Source organism: Homo sapiens, chromosome 1 (assembly GCF_000001405.40).
Source record: "Homo sapiens chromosome 1, GRCh38.p14 Primary Assembly".
NCBI classification, from domain to species: Eukaryota; Metazoa; Chordata; class Mammalia; order Primates; family Hominidae; genus Homo; species Homo sapiens.
Window position 1 is genome coordinate 211,007,513 of NC_000001.11, and position 16,406 is coordinate 211,023,918.

At 40.3% G+C, this 16,406-nt stretch overlaps 1 protein-coding gene across 4 annotated transcripts in view; it reads right to left on the minus strand.

Moving 5' to 3' along the window:
* The window catches only part of KCNH1 (potassium voltage-gated channel subfamily H member 1), a 455,835-nt gene that overhangs the window by 329,199 nt on the left and 110,230 nt on the right, over positions 1-16,406 (minus strand). For 2 of the 4 annotated variants that reach the window (XM_047419823.1, NM_002238.4), the window contains exon 6: positions 11,352-11,744. In XM_047419823.1, the coding sequence (XP_047275779.1) occupies positions 11,352-11,744 (393 nt within the window). Of the gene's footprint in view, positions 1-11,270; positions 11,745-16,406 lie in introns of those variants that run through there. The other 2 variants (NM_172362.3, XM_047419829.1) reach the window with 2 other exon arrangements.

Sequence of the window (16,406 nt, forward strand, 5' to 3'; positions counted from 1 at the left end):
TGGTCCTCCCGTTTCCCACTCAGCAAAGTTCCACCCCTCTTTCAACACCTTCCTCAACAGGTGTTTTTTGCTTTTTTCTGGAAGCCTCCTACAATTCTCCTAATCAAATTGTGCTCAGAAGTTTCCTCAGCACGTATGAGTCCTGCAAGGCCCTTCAGCAGATCATTCCTCCTTTGCTGCAACTTTCTCTTCCAGTGGCTTCTATAACTTCCAGTGTCATTTTCCTACCTCTGAGAATGTGCCATTGCCTACATTTAGATACATGAGGAAGAAGAAAAACTAATAAAATGATCTCAAAGTTCTCAGAATCTATTGTTTATAAAGAATCCAAATTACACATATTAGATGGCTACTCTCATCCATTAAGATGGCTATATACAGAAAATAACAAGGGTTAGCAAGGATGTGGAAAAAAGGGAACCTTGAGCACTGTTGGTGGGAATGTAAAATGGTAAAGCTGCTATGCAAAACAGTATAGTAGTTCCCTAAGAAACTAAAAATAGAATTATCATATGACTCAGCAATTCTACTTCTATATATATATACCCAAAAGAATTAAAAGCAGGGACTTGAACAGAGATATTTGTACTCCAGTGTTCACAGCAACATTATTCATAATCGCCAAAAGTAGAAGCAACTCATATCCACTGATGGGTGAATGGATAAACAAAATGTGGTATATACTCACAATGAAATATCATTCATCCTTAAAAAGGAAGCAAATTCTGACACAACATGAATAAACCTTGATGACATTATGCTAAGTGAAATAAGCCAGTTACAAAAGGACAAATATGGTAGAATTCCAATTATGAGGTACCTATGTTTGTCAAAAGAAGAACTGCCCAGCTGAGCCAAGCCCAAATTTCAACAGAATAATTATGCAACAAAATGTTTATTTTATTAAACCACTAAGTTTTAGGGTGGTTTCTTATGCAGCATTATACAACTGAAACAATTAATACTACACGCCAGTAAAAGTGAGCAAGCTACTGACACACTCAATATGGTTGAGGCTTACAGCCATTGTGCTGAGAGAAGCCAGGTACAAAAAGATTACACACTGAATCATTCCACTTATCTGTACTTCAAGAATAGGTAAAACTAATCTATGGCGATAGAAGTCAGAATAATGGTTATTTCAGTGGAGGGTAGTCTAGGATAAAATGGAGGAGAACCTTCTAGGGTGCTGGAGAAATCCGATGTTTTGATCTAAGTAGTGGTTATGTGCAAGTATACATTTGTAAAAATTCACTAAGCTGTATACTTTAATGTATTTTTATCACACTTGACTGTATATATTTTGTACCTCAGTTTTTTAAAGTTTCAAAAAATTCTACTGAAAGGAGATTAGCTATAACAAAGCCTATATCAGATTATGATTAGTGCTATGAAAACAGTAAAAGGATAGAAATTTGTAGTAGGGTTCTCAGGGAAAGCCACTCTAATCATGTAACGTTGAGCAAACACCTCAATGAAGTGAGAAGAAAGGCCATTTAGGGGAAGAATATTCCAGGCAGAGGGAACAGCAAGTACCCCAAGGCCAGCAAGAGGCCATGGCACCTGAAACAGAATAAGGCAGCCAAGGAACAGACTATGGAGTGCCTGATAGGCCACCATTGTGGATTTTATTGTGTGAGATGAGAGGCTGCTAGGTCTAACGTTGCCAACATGGAGAATGAGATGAGAACTGAGATCTGACCATTAGATTTGGCTACATGGACATCACTGGCACCTTTGACAACAACAGTTACAGTTTCAATAGAGTGACAAGGTTGAAAACCTGATCAGAATAAGTGCAAGAAAGAGAAGAGAAAAAGCAGAAACAACAAGTACAGAGAACTCTTTCTAGGAGTCTTTCAGTTAAAGAAGCAGGAAAATGGGGCAGCAGCTGGGGTATGTGGAGAGAGCTTTATAAAGAAGGGAAATATTCCTTGATCATATGAGAAAGGAAACAAGTGAGGAGTGGGCAAGAGGAAATGAATTCAGCACAGAACCTGACCCACGAGAAGGAGGGAAGCAGAGTACGTGGGGTGGGTGCAGGCCACAAAGTGGATTTAGTTATGGGAGTATATGTAAGTTATTTTCTTTTCTTTTTTTTTTTCTTTTTTTTTGAGATGGAGTCGCGCTCTGTCACCCAGGCTGGAGTGCAGTGGTGCGATCTCAGCTCTCTGCAACCTCCACCTCCCGGGTTCAAGCAATTCTCCTGCCTCAGCCTACTGAGTGGCTGGGACTAGAGGTGCTTGCCACCATGCCCGGTTAATTTTTGTATTTTTAGTAGAGACCGAGTTTCACTATGTTAGCCAGGCTGGTCTGGAACTCCTGACCTCAGGTGTCCTGCTCGCCTCAGCCTCCCAAAGTGCTGGGATTACAGGCATGAGCCACTGCGCCTAGCCAAGTTCTCTTTTTATCACTCCTCTTTTGTCAATGAATAAGAAGCAAGAGGATCAGGGGAGAGTACGAGCTGGGTGTTGTCAGTCTGAGGAGAGAGGAGAAGCTATGAAGGTTTGCCTTGTTGGAGAACACAGCCTGGGAAAATTCAGGGGGAATTCCACGTGAGCTGAAGTCAATCTGCACAATGATGGAGTTCTCCACTCACATTCTCCAGTCACATTCAGGGACTAGGGCACAGCCTAGCGGACGCAGAAAATAGAGTCCAAGTGGAGAGGAGTTTGGCCAGGTATTAGGACTGAGGGGCAGAGGAACAGGAGTTGGGGGAATGGGGTTCAGTGCACTAGTGGAGGTGACAGCCCAATCACAGTAGGTTCAAGGAATGGGAGGAGGGAAAGCAGGGACACGTTATTTCCCTAACTCATTCTCACCACTGCTTCCTAGGTACACCTTCAAAAACAAAAATCAGATGAGATCCCACCCTAATGGAAGTCCATGATGGCTTCTTTGTGCCCACATGATAAACTGTAAACTCCTTGGCAAGACTCTAGGATTCTTTATCACTGGACTTGGCCTTCTTCCCTCCCCCAGTGCTAACTCTGATTTGAACACAATGAATGTCTTGCTCATCCCTTATAGCACAGCCCTTTGCACATGTTCTTTCCTCTCCCAGAAATGCTCTACTTCCTCCTCACCAGACTAAACCTAGTCATCTCTGCCAGGAAGCCTCCCTGGATTCTCCCACAAGGCTAAGTGCTCCCTGTTGTAGGCTGTAACACCTTGAACTGACCCCTAGAATGCCCCTCACATTCTCTGCCAAGGTCTATTATCTGTGGCCCCTACTAGACCAGGGGCTCCTTGGGGAGTTGTATGCCTATCCCCTGCCATCTAAGTCAATTACATTTCTTTGAAGAAGGACCAATCTGAAAGAGGAGCCAAGAAAAGTTGGTAGGGAACTAAAAGAGAAGTAGAACTTGGATTGGCCAGAGAGCATCCTGGGAGAGAAGGATGGTGAGTCAACAGAGGGGAGTCAGACACAGCAGCTGAGTGAGTGTATTCTGCTCCCCAGTGCTAAACTCTTTTTTTTTAATCATACTTTAAGCTCTGGGATACACATGCAGAACATGCAGGTTTGTTACATAGGTATACACGTGCCATAGTGGTTTGCTGTACCCATCAACCCATCATCTACATTAGGTATTTCTCCTAATGCTATCCCTCCCCTACCCCCACAACCCCCAACAGGCCCTGGTGTGTGATGTTCCCCTCTGTGTCTATGTGTTTTCATTGTTCAACTCCCACTTATGAGTGAGAACATGCAGTGTTTGGTTTTCCGTTCCTGTGTTAGTTTGCTGAGAATGATGGTTTCCAGCTTCATCCATGTCCCTGCAAAAGACATGAACTCATCCTTTTTTATGGCTGCATAGTATTCCATGGTGTATATGTGCCACATTTTCTTTATCCAGTCTATCATTGATGGGAATTTGGGTTGGTTCCAAGTCTTTACTATTGTGAACAGTGCTGCAATAAACATATGTGTGCCTGTGTCTTTATAGTAGAATGATGTATAATCCTTTGGGTATATACCCAGTAATGGGATTGCTGGGTCAAATGGTATTTCTGGTTCTAGATCCTTGAGGAATTGCCATGAGGAATCTTCTACAATGGTTGAACTCTTGCATTGCCTCAGAGTGATTTGTTTTTAGGTTTTACATTTTTTTTAACTCTAGAATCACAGTTTCACGGTTAATCACTGCTTCCTGGAAGCCAGGCAGGATCGACTTCCTGCTGTTAGAAATGGTCCCCTAGCCACTCCCCAGCTCCCACACGTACACACCCCAGGTAGGATCATGACTCCGGTGCGTGTGCAAGGCACAGCATCTACAGTCCCGTCTTCCATGTGAAGCCTCTGCTTTAACAAGAGGCATGTCTCCTCCACAATCCTTCACTCACTGTGAGCACAAGTCAGGAGAAAGACTGATAAAATAAATCAAAGGAAAAGTTCTAGACAATGTTTCTAGCATGGAGGCAGCGGCAACATCACAAACATCACTGAAAACAGACTCAGCCCCTGGCCACTACTGGCAAGTCACACTCATCAAAAGAGAAATGCACTCATCCGCAGCACTTCCTGCTGCTAACAAGACACAGGAGTGAAAACTACTGTGTGTCTGATTTTGTCCTCTTTTTTCCAAAATAATTGGATAGAAGAAATACTCAGCACAAACATGAAAGATAGAAATGCCAAGGAAAAAAGAAGGAAATATGAGGACACTATGGTACAACTTAGTTTTTCTGTCCATTTTACTATCAGACATAATGACTTGTGAGAAATGTTGCTTTTACCCAGGTGCTACCACAGGCTGGTAAGACTGGTCAGCCTGCATCCTGGGGTCTCACCTCCTGTCCACCCTCCAATCAAACCCACAGCAGAAGGAAATCCCAGAACAAGACCTGTGCTGATCAGAATTGAAATCACCAGTGCTATAGAGTGATGATTTTTAATTGCTATTGCTAAATAAATCATGGTACATCCATACAATAGGATATTATTCTGCAATTTTAAAAAAGTTATCATGAAAAAAATGGAAGAACCCTATATGCATGTTGCTAAGTGAAAGAAACCAATCTGAGAGACTACAGGCTGTGTGATTCCTATGTTATGACATTCTGAAAATGCAAAACTATAAAGACATCAGTGGTTGCTAGGAATTGGGGTAGGGGGATGAATACGTGGAGCACAGGGGATGTTTAAGGCACTGAAACTTCTCTATATGATACTGTAATGGTTGATATGCATCATTACACACTTGTCCAAACCCATAGAATATATAATCCAAAGAATGAACCCTCGTGTAAACTATAGGCTATATGCTATATGAACTTTGGCTAACAATAATGTATTAATATTGGCTCATCAATGATGACAAGTATACCACAGTAAGGCAAAATGTTAATAGAGAGGAAACTGTGTGCGAGGAGGGGAGGGGAGGGTGGTCTCTGTACATCCCACTGCATTTTTCTATAAACTAAAACAGCTCTAAAGAATAAAGTCTACTAATTTTAAAAAACCAAATTGCTATTATGAGCTACAAGGACTGCCTATACAGTATTGTTAGAACTCAAAGGGGAAGAAAAGCCCTGGTCATCTCATGACTTTCACCTGACAGCTTCCCACCTGCTTCCAGCTGGACAGCAAGAGGAGTCACCTGTGTGAAAACTGAAATGCTAGCCATCTACCTAAAAAGAACCACAGGTAAGGACTGACAGCCATAAGTTAACAGGATAAGTAATGAACGTTGGTCCAACTTGCTTTCAGCGTCAGTGATAAGGAAAGCCTGGAAGAGCAGGGAATAGTGAGCCTAGAAGAACCTAGAGGTGAGGCCATTCACCCAGGAGAGATAAGCAGGGTAGGCAATGACACCTTGGAGTCAGTGCTGACCTCCACCCTCACCATCCATCCCCACACACCTGCACCAGTGACCTCAGGTTAGGGCCACACAGGCTAACCACTCAAACCTCTCACCCCTCAGCTGTAAGAAAGGTCCACGAAAATGAAGGGAACAGCAGGAGCCATGCCAGGGAATGATTCAGAGAAAGGGCCCCAGGGACTGAAATGCATAGTTTGGTTCCCTCAGCTTCCAGATTCTCTGAAGAGACAGCATGACCCGCAGGAGAAAGCACAAGCCCAGGAGTCAGGAGACTAGAGTCCGGTTTCACTACCTCAAAACAGCTGCCATCAGGCAAAAGGACAAACTGTCCCTTTCATCTGCAAAACCGGGATAATACCTGCTCTCAAGCCACAGAAGGTTAGAGCTGGGATGGGCTCATCACACAGGTCAGGCAAACCAAGTTGAGGGCGATGAAGTTATTTTCACAAGGTTGCACAGCTGGGTGACAAAGTCCCTCTTGGGTAACAAATTGCCGTCCTCCCAGTTCAGTGCAGCTTCTTCACTGCCATACAGAGTTAGGATAAAGGTGATCTGTGTGAGTGTTTTGGAAAGTTAAAATCACAAGATAAAGGAAAACTTGTCATGCTGTCATCTTTTCATTGGCACATTTTGCTCCTGTTCTGCTAGAAGGTAAGTATCTCCCATGAGTGTGAGCTCTTGGCAAGTGTCAGCTGCATCACTGGCACTAGCTGGTTGTGCTGCTGTCTGAGGTTACAGAGCCAGGGATAGAAAAAAGCTCTTGGCCACCTTCAGGCTCCAGGGCACCAGCATTGTCACCTGGGAGATAACAGCTCCCTTTTCCCCTTTGCATTTCCACACTTCAATAGCAGTAAGCAATAAGTTTCCTCGGGAGAGTGAATCTGTTTTGTCAGTAATAATTCAATCTTTAACACACGAAGCACACTAGCCCAACAATCCACTCAGCACTTGAAAGAGACTTATTTAGCTTCTGCTTTGACATACCCGTTCTAAGCTTTAGTTCGCTCTGTTTCCAGACCTTTTATCCTCCGAACATTTTAACTAATGTGCAAACATATTCTCAAACGGCCTCCGAAACAGATTATTACCAACAGACCGGAGAATGACGCAAATGTAGCCCATCTACATAAGTGAAACAAGTTTAGCCAAAGGGATCACTTGTGCAGCTTAAATCATGGAGATGGGCTATATCCACAGGGCTGAATTCATAATTGCAGGCTTTAACAATTTACCCCAGTTCTTTTTTGACCCAGACTTTGGGTGGCTCCAATCTTTTCACTTCAAGAACTCCCCACCCCCACTGCACACATACACACAGATGGCAAAGCCAACACAGCTCACGTCCTTCTTTGGTGGTCTCCACTGGCACACAAGTCCACTGGCATAATTTTGAGAACACCAAAGATGATTCAGCTAGCTCCACATGTATTTTTTTATGAGAAATGAGTCAATAATTTGTTTCTCTGCACACTCCCCCAGAGAAAGAACCTAGAGCACAGGGAGCTGTAATCTTAGATTCGTAACTCCACAACAGATCACAGGTGAGAAGACAGCATATGGTGAATAGGAAGCCACTAAGCCATCAATCAGAATTCTCCAACCCAGGGGGTTTTCCCTCAGCCTGATCTGGGTTCAAAAGATGGGGTGCCCTTCATGGGCTCTCCAACATCCTGTAACAAACATCAACCATTCATTCCCATTAATTTAATGGTGTCATTTCACTAAAGGACTATGCCTGGGAAACTGCTGGGTCTGTCCCTTGGCAAGCATCTTTAACTGCCCATGTCATCCCCAACACAGATGCCTTGGGGAAAATGTAGCTGCCCACCTCCATCTACCTCCACCAGACCCCGTGTCCAACTTCTCTACCACATTCAGCCAAGCCAAGGAGTGAGCCACACACATCAGAAACTTCCTGGTCAGTTTTGACTCAACTGTCCTTCATTAAGTGTTTTGCTCCTATTTTATAAAAATCTGTTGCTATTAGGAATAGAGAAGAGTCAGAAGGGAACCCATTATTACTGTGATTATATGATATGTTATTCCATCTTGAGTGAGTCATTTCCCCTGTCTTTTTTCTTACTTGTGTATTAAGAAGGTTGAACTATAAGACCTCCATGGTCCTGTCAGGCTGTGACCTCAAGTGGGTCTATGTATTACCTGCTAAGTGTTCCCACCCCCCACCTTGTTTTCCTCCCACCCCAATTACAAGAAAGAGGTCACGGTGCTAGGACTCTTGTTCTTACAATAAGCTTCTGGAGGTAAGACTAATGCAGATGAGATTTAGCATTCACCAGACTTTAGCTCTTGGAGCTGGCAGGAAACTCAAATAATCCACCACCCAAATGCTATGCCTTCAGGCAGGTATAGTAGTATTATCCCCAAGATGTAGATAGGAAAACCATGATCCAGAAAGGCTAAATGATATGCACAAGGATCCCAGCTGTTTTAACAGGTGATACCAAGAGAACTAAAAGCCAAATCTTCCCATTCCTCACACTGATCTCCCTCCAACCACCAGAGTTGTTATGAAAGGGCATTATTTGAGGTGTTAGCCAAAGCTTTAAAAGAAATTACCAAATATAAAATTATGTCTTACAGAAGGAAACAATAGCTGTAGCCCTTAATATTTGTACTATTATTTATGACCAACAGGTGATAGTAAGAGCTTTGATTCTAAGCCCTTTACCAATGAGAAAGCTACAGATAACTAACATTTTTCTTATTAACCAATCTATTTCATGAATCTATAAATCAGAAACCACCATCAGGAGTATTTATAAATAATGGCAAAGGAGTTCCAACCCGACATATACAGTTGGTTTGGAAGGAGTTCCAACCCAACATATACAGTTTGTTTGGAAGGAGTTCCAACCCAACATGTACAGTTGGTTTGGAAAGAGTTCCAACCCAACATATACAGTTGGTTTGGAACTCTTTCCTAGGGGAGAAGAACTCTGCTCTGTTAACCTACCAGGTAACTGACACATTTTACATATGTGTTTATAGTTCTGCCAATTTTTAATAAGAATCTGTGGAAGCTGGAGAACTGTTCTATTTATCTGCAAAATTTCAGTCCATTACTCTAAATAGAAAATCGTTTATTTTAAAAACCAGTGTGCTTCTTAAGCTAAATTTCACTTTCCATATGTGTTTAAGAAGCTCTTTTAGATTCAGATAATTTATTTGAATTACCTAAGCCAAAATGATATTTTCCTAAGAAAAAAATTTCTAAAAATGTGCTCACAGAGAAAAGTATGATTCCCAACATGTACTAAAATTCTCATTTGTGGGCCAGGAGTGGTGGCTCACACCTGTAATCCCAGCTCTTTAGGAGGCCGAGGCAGGCAGATCACTTGAGGTCAGGAGTTCAAGACCAGACTGGCCAACATGGTGAAACCCCGTCTCTACTAAAAATACAAAAATTAGCCAGGCACAGTGACACGTGCCTATAATCCCAGCTACTTGGGAGGCTGAGGCAGGAGAATTGCCTGAACCTGGGAGGCAGAGGTTGTGGTGAGCTGAGATCACACCACGACATTCCAGCCTGGGTGACAGAGCAAGACTCTGTCTCAAAAAAAAAAAAAATTTTAAAATTAAAAAAAAAAATTCTCATTTAAGAACCCCAACGTTCATATTAGGTATGATTCTGCTCTTGTAAATGATCAGTCTTGACTCATTTCATCCCCCTACAAAATTCACACAAGCTACCCCAGAGAATTAGTCTTTGGGATTTTAAAGTATTTTAAAACCCACCACACAGATACAAGCATGGGTTGTTCTGAATCTAGAGCATCTGAGCATCCAAATTCTCTCCTTCCAGCTCTACATTGGCAGCATTTTGTAGGAAGAGCTACCCTTCACTGGAAAGAGAAGTGGTAATAGTTCTGTTTTCCCAGAGAAAAGGCTGCTGTCCCACCAACCGCTGGTACTGATCTGAAGGCAGAAAGGCATCATTATGCCACTAGTAAAACATGGAGTCACTGGCCAGGTCTTGATATCCCGGCAGGGAGCAAGCTGTTCCTTTCAACGTTCTCAAGCCTGAGTCCTATGAGCCGTTTAGTTCTGAAATGTGTCTTGAGCCTCAACTTGGCTTCCTAGATTACCCACACAACCCAGCTAGACTGAGACCTTGGGAGCCTCTGTAATCTGAAGCAATGAGGGCCCAGCTGAACAAGGCTGGAGACTTGCCAAATGAACTGCCTTATCTTAATCCATCTGGAATGTCCACTAGGAGTAAGAAAACGGAAGGACAATTCCCATAGAACACAAACTAGATAAGAATCTGACATTTTTCTTTGCAATGACTTGACATCCTCACTGTTTCAAAGAAAATCACCTTAATCAGTCCAGTGGCCCTTCCTGCTACCACATGTCCCAGGCGCTCATTCAGAAAATGACTTAGAGTATTTCCTAATTCCAACACATCTACACAGAATTTAGCTTCCTTTAATTTCATCCATTGCCTGCAGGACTAACAATTGAAAAGAGTTGCTATAGTTTGAATGTTTGTCTCCTCCAAACCTCATGTTGAAATTTGAGTCCCAGTGTTGGAAATAGGGCCTAATGGGAGGTGTTTGGGTCATGGGGGGTGGATCCCTCTTAAGTATATTAATGTCCTCTCTGGGGGAAGTGGGGTGGTGAGTGGATTCTCACTCCATTAGTTCCCACGAAAGCAAGTTGTTACAAAAAGCCTGGCACCTCCTCTTCCTGTCTCTCACTTCCTCTCTCACCATCTGATCTCTGGACAAGCTGGCTCCCCCCTTCACCTTCCACCATGAGTGACCTGGTCCTAAATCTTCCAGCCATCAGAATTTTGACTTTTCTTTGTAAGTTACCCTGCCTCAGGTATTTCTCTATAGCAACACAAAATGGACTAAAACAGCAGTATAATCCAAAAACCACAAGCTGATGCCTGACTACCTCAGTAAATGGTTGCCTCCAAACTCATTTTAGCAAAGAAATAACTCATCTCAAAATTTAACAGAAAAAAGTAAAAGCAAACTTTCAGGAAAATGGTATTCCTGTTACCAGGAGTTAATTGGCTATGAAACAGCCAAAAGTCAGCAGCAGATAAAAGAAAAGTCTGCATAACTAGAATAATCAATAGGTAGACATTCAGCAACTATATACTCAATAGAAGACTTGCCAGTGCAGTGGCCATGCATGCCTGCTGCTGCAGGCCCACCATTCCTGAACCAGTGGCTTACATTCCACGTGGAGTAGGAGTAAGCCTTTGGTCTCTTCCACACCCATTCACTGTCATGCAGGGCCTCCAAACCGCCAAAGGATGGGAACAGCAGGCAAGGGTATCTATCAAGCATGCTCCCTCTGTTCTGGACATCAGTCATGCTATTTCCCACCCATTTAATTATTCTTCTGTTGACCACCCACATTTAACTCAGTTTTAAAGACATGACAACAAGGTCTGAGATTTGAGGGATGTACCTGACTCTCTCTCCCCTCCAGTGGTGGTGGAATCTGATCAGCAAAACCAATCTTCCCTGGATCACCCATAAAGGCACTAACCTCATCCACGTTCTCAAAAGCGTTGATGACATCATATGGCAAACAGGACAGAAGGTCAATCACAAACCACGTCTTCAGGTAGTTCATGCGGATAAGTTTGGGGTCAGAAATCACCTCCCCTGCTGGTCCAACAAAGGTGGTATGAAAATTGAGCACAATGTCCACCAAAAAGATAACATCCACGATGCTATCAACAACCAGCCAGGCCACATTATTCTGCCTGGTTTTGAAGGAGACATTATAAGGGACCAAGATGGCTGTATAGAAGGTCAAGATCAAGATGATCCAATCCCACGTGGTCTTAAAAACACAATAATGTAAGATGATGTGAGGGGGAGTCTTTGGTGCCTCTTGCTTGTACTGGGGAAGGATGTCTGAGCCCAGCTGTAGGACCTGTACAGAAAAACATGACCAAGAGAGAACTAAGTTAGGATTTAATTGCAAGTATCTAACCAGTCAGCATCAGTGATTGACAAATGGTCACAATACTCTGGATAAATCGTCAGGTACAATAACAGGTATGAAAGAAGTATGGGAGAATGAAAGTGAACATTATAATAGAAATAATCATAAAGAAACAATTACAAATTACTATTTGGCTGTGAGCCAAGTGTTGTACTAAGCACTTTACACACATTTATTCTATTACACCTTTGTGTAATTCTAAATACACCTTTGTTCTATTAGCCAATTATTATTGGCTCAATTCTAAATACACCTTTGTTCTATTAGCCAATTATTATTCCATAAGTTAGAAACTGGGGCTCAAAAAGATTAAGCAACTTTTTATTCAATAAATATTAATTGCTCTGATTTCATCCAACAGCTGCAGAATACACATTCTTCTCATCAGCACATGGAACATTCTCCAGGATAGACTATATGTGAGATGACAAAACAAGTGTTAACAAATTTTTAAAAATCAAATTCATATCAAGAATCTTTCCTGACCACAGTGGAAGTACACTAGAAATCAAAACATGTGGAACTTGGGAAACTTTATGAATACTTGGAAATTAAATGTGCTTGTGAATGACCAGTGGGTCAATAGAGAAATTAAGAAGGAAATTTTAAAATGTCTTGAAACAAATGAAAATGAAAACATAACATAACAAAAACCTATGGGATACAGCACAAGAAATACTAAGAGGGAAAATTACAGCAATAAATGCCTACATCAAAGAAGTAAAAAGATTTTAAATAAACAACCTAACAATGCACTTCAAGGAACGAGAAAAGCAAGAACAAACCAAATCCAAAATTAGAAGAAGGAAAGAAATAATAAAATAAGAGTCAAAATAAATAAAATTAAGACAAAAAATACAAAAGAGCAATGAAATGACAAGCTGGGTTTTTAAAAACATAATTTTAAAAAAACCCAAACCTATAACTAAGAAAAAGAAATTCCCAATAAAATTCAAGATGAAAAAGGAAATATTACAAGAAATACCACACAAATACAAAGGATCATTAGAAGCTATTATGAATAATCATATGCCAACAAATTGGAAAACCTAGAGGAAATGGATAAATTCCTGGACACATACAACCTACCAAGATTGAAACAGGAAGAAATAGAAAACTCTAACAGACCAATAACAAGAAATAAGATTAATTGAATCAGTAATAAAAAAAAAAATCTCCCAACAAAGAAAAGCCCAGGACCAGATGGCTTCAAAGCTGAATTTTACCAAAGTTTTAAAGAAGAACTAGTACCAGTTATTCTCAAACTATTTTTAAAAATTGAAGGGGAGGGCATTCTTCCAAACTCAATCTATGAGTCCAGCATTACCCTGATACCAAAACCAGACAAAGGCAAAACAAAAAAGAAAACTACAAGCCAATATTCCTGATGAACCTACATACAAAATCCTCAACAAAACACTAGCAAACTGAATCCAACAGAACATCAAAAAAAAGGTATACTCTATAATCAACTGGAATTTATCCAGAGATGCAAGAATGACTCAACACTTGCAAATTAACAAACATGATGCATCACATCAGCAGTAGGGAAAAAAAAATGATTATCTCAATAGATGCAGAAAAAGCATTTGATAAAATTCGATATCCTTTCATGATAAAAAAAACTCAACAAATGAGGTATAGAAGAAAGGTACTCAAATGCCTTACATTTGCAGCAACCTGCATGAGATTGGAGACTATGATTCTAAGTGAAGTAACTCAGAAATGGAAAACCAAACATTGTATGTCCTCACTCATGAGTGGGGGCTAAGCTATGGGGATGCAAAGGCATAAGAATGACACAACAGACTTTGAGGACTCAGGAGGAAAGGGTGGGAAGGGGGTAGGGGATAAAAGACTACAAAATTGGGTTCAGTGTATACTGCTTGGGTGATGAGTGTACCAAAATCTCACAAATCACCACTAAAGAACTTATTCATATAACCAAACACCCACCTGTTCCTCAATAACCTATGGAAATAAAAAAAAATTAAAAATAAAAAAGACCTTACTTGATAAACCCACAGCTCACATCATACTGAATAGGAAAATGTTGACAGCCTTCCCTTTAAGATCTGGAACTAGACAAGAATGCCCATTTTCACCACTGTTATTCAACATAGCACTGAAAGTCCCAGACAGAACAATTAGGCAAGAGAAAGAAATAAAGGACATCCAAATGGAAAAGGAGGAAGTCAAACTGTCCCTGTTTGCAGATATAATCATATATTTAGAGAAACATAGACTACACACACACACACACACACACACAACCTGTTAGAACTGATAAACAAATTCACTAACGTTGCAGGATACAAAACTCAACATACAAAAGTCAGTAGCATTTCCATACACCAATAGCAAACAATCTGAAAATGAAATCAAAGGAACAATTCCATTATCAATAGCTACAAAAAAAATTAAATGTCTAGGAATAAATCTAACCAAAGAGAAGAAAAATCTCTACAAATAAAGCTATAAAACACTGAGATAAGAAATTGAAGAGGACACAAAAAATGGAAAAGTATTCATGGATTAGGAGAATTAATATTATTACAATGTGCAATTACCCAAAGCAATCTACAGATTCAATGCAATCCCTATTAAAATACCAATGACAATCTTCACAGAAATAGAAAAAATTAATCCTAAAATTTATATGGAATCACAGAAGACCCAGAATAGCAAAAACTATCCTGAGCAAAAAGAACAAAACTAGAGGAATCACATTACCTGACTTCAAATTATACTACAGAGTTATAGTAACCAAAACAACAGGGTAGTTGCATAAAAACAGACACATAGACCAATGGAACAGAACAGAGAACCCAGAAATAAATCCATGTATCTACAATGAACTCATTTTCAACAAAGGCGCCAAGAATATACATTGAGAATAGGACAGTCTCTTCAACAAATGGTGCTGGGAAAACTGGATATCCATATGCAGAAGAATGAAATTAGACCCCTATCTCTTCTCATATTCAAAAATCAAATCAAATGGATTAAAAATTTAAATCCAAGACTTCAAACTATAGAATCGATAAAATAAAACTTCGGGGAAACTCTCCAGGATGTTGGACTGGGCAAAGATTTTTAAGGTAAACCTCAAAAGTACAGGCAACCAAGGCAAAAATAGCCAAATAGGATTATATCAAGCTGAAAAGCTTCTGCACAGCAAAGTAAACAATCAACAGAATGAAGAGACAACCTACAGAATGGGAGAAAATACCTGCAAACTATTCATCTGACAAGGGATTAATATCTAGAATATACAAGGAATTCAACTCAACAGCAAAAATTGAATAATGTGATTTAAAAATGAGGAAGTAATCTGAATAGCTATTTATCAAAGGAATACATACAAATAAATGGCTAACAGGGATATGAAAAAATGCTCATCATTACTAATCATCAGGAAAATGCAAATCAAAATGCAATGAAATGTAATCTCATCCCAGTTAAATGGCTATTATCAAAAAGACAAAAAAAAGTGCTGATGGCCAGGCATGGTGGCTCACACCTGTAATACCAGTACTTTGGGAGGCCGAGGAGGGTGGATCACCTGAGGTCAGGAGTTTGAGACCAGCCTGGCCAACATGGTAAAACCCCATCTCTACTAAAAATACAAAATTAGCCAGGCATGGTGGTGGATACCTGTAATCCTAGCTACTCAGGAGGCTGAGGCAGGAGAAACACTTGAACCCGGGAGGCAGAGGTTGTAGTGAGCCAAGATCATGCCACTGCACTCCAGCCTGGGCGACAGAGCTAGACTCTGTCTCAGAAAAAATAAATAAATAAATAAATAAATAAATAAATAAATAAATAAATAAATTAAAAATGCTGGTGAGGATCCAGATGAAGGGGAATTATTACATACTTTTGTTGGGGATGTAAATTAATATAGCAGTTATGCAAAACATATTGAGTTTCCTTGAATAAAAATAGAACTACGATATGATTCAGCAATCCCATTGGTGGGTATATATCCAAAGGAAAGGAAAGAGCTATTGGCACTCCCATGTTTATTGCAGCATTATTCACAGTAGCCAAGATATAGAATCAACCTAAGTGTCCATTGACAGATGAATGGAAAAACAAAATATTAATGGATATATGTACCCAATAGAATATTATTTGGCCATAAAAAAAGAATGAAATCCTGTCATTTGCAGCTCCATGGATAACTCTGGAGGATATTATGTTAAATGAAATAAGCCAGGCACAGAAGGACAAATACCACATGTTCCGCTCATATATGAGAGCTAAAAAAGCTGACCTCCTAGAAGTAGAGAGTAGAATAGTGGTTACCAGAGGCTGAGAATGGTACAGGAAGAGAATGTGATAGGGAAGCGTTGGTTAATTGATACAAAATTTCAGCTAGAGTAAAAAAACAGGTAAGTATTTAAGGTGATGGATATCCCAACTACCCTGATTTGATTATATAAATTTATCATCCTATCACATGTACACCCAAAACATGCACATCTAATGTGCATCAATAAAAATCGTTTTTTAAAATTAGTATTTGATAGGAGGAATAAGTGTTCTATAGCACAGTAGAGTGAATAATAATTTACTATATATTTC